The sequence below is a fragment of the Homo sapiens genome, chromosome 8 (assembly GCF_000001405.40).
Source record: "Homo sapiens chromosome 8, GRCh38.p14 Primary Assembly".
Taxonomy (NCBI): domain Eukaryota; kingdom Metazoa; phylum Chordata; class Mammalia; order Primates; family Hominidae; genus Homo; species Homo sapiens.
The window spans coordinates 8,664,214-8,672,370 of record NC_000008.11 but is presented as its reverse complement, the minus strand read 5'-3'; the positions used below and the strand labels follow the sequence as shown (position 1 = coordinate 8,672,370).

The following is an 8,157-nucleotide window of genomic DNA, read 5'->3' as shown; positions in this document are numbered from 1 at the left end:
TACAAATTTTCAGCTACTTTTATAGTAGTAAAGATGAGTTGTTTTACTCTATCTGTATACTGTCACATAATTCCCTTTGTAACTGATAGTATACATTTCTGAGATGGCTCAGTAGAATAGGAATACATGTAAATTGCTCCAGGAACGAATGAAATTGATTGGTCTACATGGGACCAAATCCTTGGTCTCATAAGCACCACATCTTAACTCACTCTATTTATTGCCCAGATTCTCAGCCATCCATTCATCCATCCACCCATCTATCCATCATCCATCCATTCACCTGTCCATCCATCCATCCATCCATCCATCCACCCATCTCTCCATCCATCCATCCTTGCATCCATCCATCCACCCACCCATCTATCCATTCATCCACCTGTCTATCCATCCATCCACCCATCCATTCACATAACCATCCATTTACGTTCTAACAGAAAATAATTGCAAAATCTGTTGACTCTGGGATGCGAATATTCAAAGTACATGCAATTTAATAATCTAAAATATTGCAAGACGTTTACTTGGAGCCTCAATGGCATTCCTGTAAAAATAGTTTATTAGTGAAGATCGATCAATTCCCAGTGTATTTGAAAAATCCTATTTAACCTATTAAGTAGTTGAATAATGATATTAGGGCTATAGCAAAAAAACAACAAAAACAAAACAAAACAAAATAAAACAAAAAACCAAAACTATTGTTTCTATGGGAAAAGTTTTAGGTTATTTTGGTAAGGAGGAGGGAGATAAGGTGATGCAGGTCAAGGGTCTCATCTAGATAGGGTCTAGAACAGGGTACCCTGAGCATATCTCCCCTTCATAGTGGAAGGAGCGCCAGTCCTCTTCCCTTTCTCCTCTTCCCCAACAACTGGCCTCCCCCTCTTGCCCCTGTGTTCCCAGAGAAAGAGCCCTGGTGTAAGTGAGAGACTATACAACAACAGAAGTAGGGGCGAGATGCTCATGAAATGTAAATTAATCCTGATGTGCCTTCCAACATGCGCTATCCTGTGCTTACCAAGCTCTCTGAATTTCAGTTTCCAGAACTGTGAAGTGGGTATGATAATGCCATTTTACAGTCATCCTAAGAGAATTAAATGAGATAATATATAAAAGTACTTAGCATGGCACTTGGCTTATAGTAAATGTCCCAAAACAGCAGCTATTACGATGATTGCCATTATTATTGGGATCAAGTGACATGTGGAAATGCCTGAAATATAGTCTATTCTCTACGGACATTAGTTTCTTTCCTTTTTCATAAGCAAGGTTGAGAGACAAGTAGCATCTGTGAGGGGGAACATTTTGGCATTTGGATACCCTGATTTGACGATTTTAGGCCTGAGATTGGGGAAAGATTGGAGAGGTGATGGCTACAGGGAGAAAGGCCAGGCATTGCAGGTGGTAGGTCTCATTTATTCATAATGTGGTGGTCGTGGTGGGAGAGTACGTTATGAATAAAAGGACTGCTAATGTGGGGGACATATGAATGGGGTGGATGAATACAAGCTCTTTATAACCTTCTTCACTGATCCCCCGACAATGTAAAGGTTATTAAGAGCTAGAAAATGCTGGTACCCCGCCCTGCCGCCTGGGAGGGCTGAACTGAAATGCGCTTCAGGTGTGATCTTTTGGCTCCACCTACCGGAAAGAGTTGGTACTTCATTCTCTCAAAAGCCCAGACCTCATAGTCGACTTCAGGCCCAATTGTTATCAGAGATTTTGGTTTTGTGTATGGGTTTATGGTTTTTAAAAAATTAATATAAATATACATTATATCAATAAGAATTTAGTTAGGCTGACTCCTAACTAAAGGAGTTGCTCAGGGTTACCCAGTGAGTGGCTAAGGTAGTTTTACTATTTGCATTGTTAGAAATAATCACTGATTACACGTTGCCCAGAATAAAGAACACCTGAGGCCTCTCATCAGACCACGCCTCAGGGCAATAAGGTGCAACGGGAGTCCGTGCACCTGACCGCATGGCCTGGACCAGAGGGGCTGCTCGGATCTCTGCAGACCTACTCCTAGTGCTCTCTGTCCTGGTCTGCATCATCTTCTCCAGAGATGATACGGCCTTTCCTGGGTCTGGGGTTTCCTGCAAGCAGCTCTGATACTTTTTTTTTTTTTCAGACAGAGTCTCAGCTGTGTTGTTGCCCAAGCTGGAGTGCAGTGGTGCAATCTTGGTTCACTGCAACCTCCACCTCCCAGGTTCAAGCAATTCTCCTGCCTCAGCCTCCTAAGTAGCTGGGACTACAGGCGCGCGCCACCACGCCTGGCTAATTTTTGTATTGTTAGTAGAGACGGGGTTTCACCATGTTGGCCAGGCTGGTCTCAAACTCCTGAGCTCAAGTGATCCACTCACCTTGGCCTCCCAAAGTGCTGGGATTACAGGCGTGAGCCACGGCGCTTGGCCTCTAATACCTTTTAATGCAAACTCAGTGCAATCCTCTCATTTGTCTGCAGGTGTCAGCAAATCTCAGGGAGTGACATGCAGTGTACCAAGACACGGTCTTTTGTCACTGCATTGTGGCAGAGATGGGCAGGAGAGGGGAATAAAGAAAATTGACAGTGATTTACGAGCAATGCCTCCAGCAGGGTTTGCCTAGGTTTCCTTCAGGAAGGCAGTGGCATCTTTGAGAAATCCCTTAAGATGTGGTCTAAATACCCGGGCACATCTTTCAGGGACTCTGCCATTTTTGCTGTTTAAATGCCCTAAGCTCTCCAAGCCACAATGTCCTCATCTGCAAAACTGAGAACCATAGTGCACGCACCTCCTAGGATGAAGCGTGATAAAAGATACTGACTTACATTTTATAGATAGCGACTGTACTCTGGAAGTCAGAATACGAAGAAATCCTTTTTGGTGAGAGTCGCCTTTGAGTGCCTCCCCTCATTCCTTCTTCTTGAGCTGACATCTGCCCAACTTATATTAAAAACTGGATAGGCAGCTTCTGCATAGATAGAATTGGTCACATCGGGGTAAACAAGGTGCCTGGAGGGAAGTCTTGGTTTGCAGGAAGGTTCCTGGGGCCTCTGAGAAGGGTCTTTTAGAACATCCGGAGACATTCACTTTGTTGCAGTTACAAGAGACCCAACTCATCCCTCAGACAGTCTCTTTTCCCAGGTCACAGACAGCAGGACAATTGAGTAGAGATTTGTTTTTTCTGACTTGCGTCTTGTGTGGGATGAGGGAGTTCTATGAAGGTGTCTGCTCTATTGGTGTCAAAATGAACAGAGGGTTGGTGGTTAATTTCTTAGTAATTTTACACAAATTCAGAGGCTTAAAAACAACAGAAACGTATTTCGCAGCTCTAGAGGTAGAAAGTTTGAAATCTGGTAGAGCTGTTCTTCCTCTTCTGTGTGTTGAATCTCTCTCTTTTCAAAAAACAAAAAACAAAACAAAAACCACACAACTTGGCAGGGCACAGTGGTTCACGTCTGTAATCCTAGTACTTTGGGAGGCTGAAGTGGGTGGATCACCTGAGGTCAGGAGTTCGAGACCAGCCTGGCCAATGTGGCAAACCCCCATCTCTACCAAAAAATACAAAAATTAGCTAGGTGTGGTGGCGGGCACCTGTAATCCCAGCTACTTGGGAGGCTGAGATAGGAGAATTGCTTAAACCCTGGAGGTGGAGGTTGCCGGGAGCCGAGATAGCACCACTGCACTCCAGCCTGGGTGACAGAGCGAGACTGCATCTCAAAAACAACAACAACAACAACAGCAACAACAAAAACCACCATGATGGCATTTAGGACACACTCAGATAATCCAAGATAATCTCCACATTTTAAGATCCTTCACGCACTCATATCTGCAAAGACTTTTCTTTGTAAGGTATCATTTACAGGTTTCACAGACCTGATATCTTTGGGCAACCATTTTCTACCCACCGCAGAGGAGCTTAGAGAGTCTGCCATTTGTTGCTAAGGGTGGAATCCAGTGGTCAGGAAACGAGGTTACTTAAGCAGAGATTCTGCTGTAATCTCTCCTGTGCTCCAAGACAGGATATGCTGAAGGAGCTGCGAGAAACTTTCTGGCTCAGCAGATGTGAAATTACCAGAAGTGTTAGAAGTATGGAGAATTGCTGTAATGCAATAGCTTTACATAGAGGCAACCAAAATCTGCAATTTGTAAAGAAGTAGGCTGTGGAGGAGGACTCAACACAGATTTCCTTCAGTTGCTCACCTCTGCGTTGCAGCAGGGAAACAGCTGCAGATAACATGTAAAGAAAGGGCCAAGGCTCTGCTCCAGTTAAACTTCTTTTGCGAAAGCAGGATTTCTGCTTCTGGGCAGATGGAGTAGACACACTGTTTTCTATACCTCCCACTAAATACAACTGGACATCATGGGCATTGCATGTCAAAGACAGTAAAACTCTGAGAGGTAAAGAAAAGAAGGCAGACCAGCTTGAAACCCCGGGATCCGAGGAACAACACAGTGGTGAATGCCCTGGTTTCTCTCTTTTTTTTTTTTTTTTTTGAGATGGAGTCTCTCTCTGTTGCCCAGGCTGGAGTGCACTGGCATGATCTCGGCTCACTGCAACCTCCGCCTCCTGGGTTCATGCCATTCTCCTCCCTCAGCCTCCCGAGTAGCTGGGAGTACAGGCGCCCGCCACCACGCCCGGCTAATTTTTTATATTTTTTAGTAGAGACAGGGTTTCACGGTGTTAGCCAGGATGTCCTGGTTTCTCTCTTGTCTTTCTTTCTCTCCCTCTCTCACTGCCTCATATATCTCAGATTTGGAGCTGATGAGGCCAGTAACCCAGAAGTCCCAAGTGGTAGAGGCAAGAAAGCACCAACAAAACCCTGCTCTCTCTAGCTAAAGGACAAGGAAAGACACAAGCTAGTAAGATGGAAAATTTGGGAAATCACTGCTCTTTTCTAGACAAACCCCACCAAAAACTCCCTCCTTGCAAGGCTGAATGGGGAGGCTGGGCTTCTATCCTCATGACACTGGAATAAGGCATCCTGACCTCCCAGCCAGGATAGGGTCACAGAAGTTTAAGTAGCGAACAGGGACATTCTCTCCCCTCCTGTGATGAGCTCCATCCTTGCAATGTCAGCAGAGGCCACATGGGGAGCCCAGATTCCTGCCTCCAAGGGAAGAAATGACATGTCCCTCTACTTCCCCACTAGGATGGTATCAGAGGAGGTCCAAGGAAGAGTCAGGGCTTCTGCCATTACCTGGGGTGATCAAGTTGCTCCAGATGTCTTCCTAGTTAGAACTTCAAAAGTATAGTCAGAGCCCGGGCGCGGTGGCTCACGCCTATAATCCCAGGACTTTGGGAAGCCAAGGCAGGCTGATCACCTGAGATTAGGAGTTCAAGACCAGCCTGGCCAACATGGCGAAAACCTGTCTCTACTAAAAATACAAAAATTAGCCTGAAGTGATGGTGCACTCCTGTGGTCCCAGCTACTCAGGAGGGTGAGGAGGAGAATCCCTTGAAACCGGGAGGCAGGAAGCCGAGATCGCACCACTGCATGCCCGCCTGGGTGACAGATTGAGACTCCATCTCAAAAAATTAATTAATTAATAAAATAAAAAATGAAAGCGTTGTCAGAATTCTGGGATTCTAATCCCAATTCCACCATTTACCAACAGGATAATCCCAGACATATTTCCCCATCTCCACAGGGAAAACGACAGCACTGCCCACACTTCAGACTTCAGTTCACGCTGCTTCTCCCTAGGGTTTGTTTTGGGGCTCAGTGAGATGATGAGGTGTTAAAACACTAAGAGTTATTGAAGAAAGAAGTACAAAATAATGGCTATAAAAATTATTTGAGGGTGGGCACAGTGGCTCATGCTAGTAATCCCCGCACTTTGGGAGGCCGAGGCAGGCAGATCACTTGAGGTCAGGAGTTTGAGACCAGCCTGTCCAGCATGGTGAAACCCCGTCTCTACTAACAATGCAAAAATTAGTTGAGTGTGGTGGCACAGGCCCGTATTTCCAGCTCCCCGGGAGGCTGAGGCATGAGAATTATTGAACGGGAGGTGGAGGTTGCAGTGAGCTGAGATAGTGCCACTGCACTCCAGCCTGGGCGATGGAGTGAGACTGTGCCTCAAAATAATAATAATAATTTTAACAATTATTTGAAAAGAATAAGGAATTGAGTATTATTATTATTATTTTTAGTTGGAGGTCTGAAGTAGCTGTAGAACCTGCAGTATGCAGGCAGGATGGTTCACGACCAGCAATGTTACAGGGACCTCAGCCCCCATGTGTCCCTCCCTTGCCCTGGCCAGGTCTTGGGTGACTCATGAACTTTCCTAGTGTCCTTGCTTCTCCCGCTTGGACTGCAGTGGCACTGTCCCTCTTCTGCTGCCTCCCAGCTCCGCCTCACTGATGGAGATGCCTTTATTTTAATCTCTTACAGTGCCCTGGAGAAATACCACTTGCCGTATTTAATTGAATCTAAAATGTCCTTCATTTTAAGCTCCATCATTAGCTGATGTACCACAAAGAGAGGAAAAATCATTGTCAATGAGACTATGACATGGTGTCTTAATGACAGGCCTGCCTGATGAGTGAATTGGCCACACCAACCTCTTTGTTGCGTTGGAATTTCTTTCATGGATTCTAAAGGGCTTGACAATTTCCCCTGCCTTCAGCTGCACTGCTTGGCTTCTGCTGGGCATTCCCTTTTTATAGCTCGATAATTCGGTATGAATTAGCTTCACTTTATGTTCACTAAAGCAGGGCACTCAGACTTTAATATGCCTGCAAATCAATGGGACTTTGTTAAAATGCAGATCCTGATTCAGTAGGTTTGGGGCAGAGCCTGAAATTCAGAATTTCGATCCATCTCCCAGGCGATGCTGCTGGTCTGTGGACCACACTTTGAGCAGCAAGGTTGTAAAGCACTTGGTTTGTTCTGCAAGAGAATATGGAATTGCAAGCATTCCTCCCGTCATGAATATTCACTTCACAAATAACAAATGTATGTACCCCCCCGCCCCACCCGCTCTGTCTCCTCACCTTTCTGAATACACCGTAAGTTTTCCTTTCAATGCTGAATCATAGTATAATCTTTCTGAAGGCATTTTACATGGCAATTAAACCCGGCACATGAAGTGCCAACAGTGCACATAATCCCGCTGAAGTGATGACAACAGCCACAGCTGTGAACAAGTTTGCACATGCCGCAAAGACAACGAGGTCACGTGGGCGCCTGGCGGGCGGCGATTGTAGGATGCTTTCGATCTATTCCAATGTCAGAGAATTCAGAGCTGTTAAAAGGTGAAAAAAGTCTACATCTTAGAATCATTGCAAAGTGGAAAGTAATTTATTCTTTCAGTTTCTTCCATTTCTCCCTTTCCTACTTCCTGCTCTGCTGTCAACTTGAAGACATTTTTTTTCAGTGGCTGATGCCTGTCACAAATTTCCTTTGCTTTTACGGAGTGAGTTTGCTATCCCATCCATCCGGGCCCATCCAGAGCCCTGCCTGGGAGATGGCAGCTCTTACCCCATGACCTTGTTGAAGGGTTTTTGTGCTGGGACTGTCTGTTACCTTCCAGGCTGGCTGCTCATCCTCTTCCCCAGAAGCCCATGAATTATAATCCCTCCTGGACACTTACTTGGCATGACCACACTTTCTGCGAGCTTGCAAAATGAGTGCCCTGCCTGGGATGCTTGCTGGTAATGCACTGAGCCTAGCGCAAGATAGGTGCTTGGAGAATGTCTGTTGAATGCTTTGGGGAGACAGTACGCAACTGATCAGAATGCCTGGAATTCTTGAGTCACTGAGGATGCATTTTTATCTGCAGAGACCACGGACTGCATGAGTGCTTGACATCAGCTGGGGGTGAGGTTGGGGTGGCAATTTCCATTAGCTATGCTTGGAATTTTTCTCACCACTTGACATATTATCAACCCTTGACCTAGAGTGGAGTATCACCCGAAAGAGGGGACAGGATAAACAAACATGGAAAGAATTTAAATCTCTAGCTCCACATTTCCCAAAATATTTTCTAGGAAGAAACATTTGAGTTTCCAGGGATTTTGATAGGTTTGCTTCCAAAATGACTCTGCCTACTGTGTGAAGTAAGCACACATCTCCACTTGTCTTCCATTGAACTCAACTCTAAAACCTGAACAGAATATGTATCAAATAAGATTGGGAAATTCTGGAATGAAATTGAAATTCAAGTGAAACAG

General features: G+C 45.2%; 1 long non-coding RNA gene across 1 annotated transcript, besides 1 other annotated feature; it reads right to left on the bottom strand.

Annotated features, from left to right (window-relative positions):
- Window positions 1-468: 468 nt before the first annotated feature.
- On the bottom strand, window positions 469-7,291 carry LOC124901881 (uncharacterized). Its single transcript, XR_007060801.1, has 2 exons — window positions 6,979-7,291; window positions 469-3,211 (listed from the first exon to the last, which is right to left on the bottom strand). It is a non-coding gene; the product is annotated as an uncharacterized LOC124901881 (long non-coding RNA).
- Window positions 6,624-7,823: an enhancer, noted in NCBI's record as "BRD4-independent group 4 enhancer chr8:8522058-8523257 (GRCh37/hg19 assembly coordinates)". NCBI's record gives its function as "activates an origin of replication core promoter dependent on BRD2, P300/CBP, MED14 and CDK7 cofactors, and independent of BRD4, by STARR-seq in HCT116 cells {active_cell/tissue: HCT116}" and the evidence as "EXISTENCE:reporter gene assay evidence [ECO:0000049][PMID:35650434]".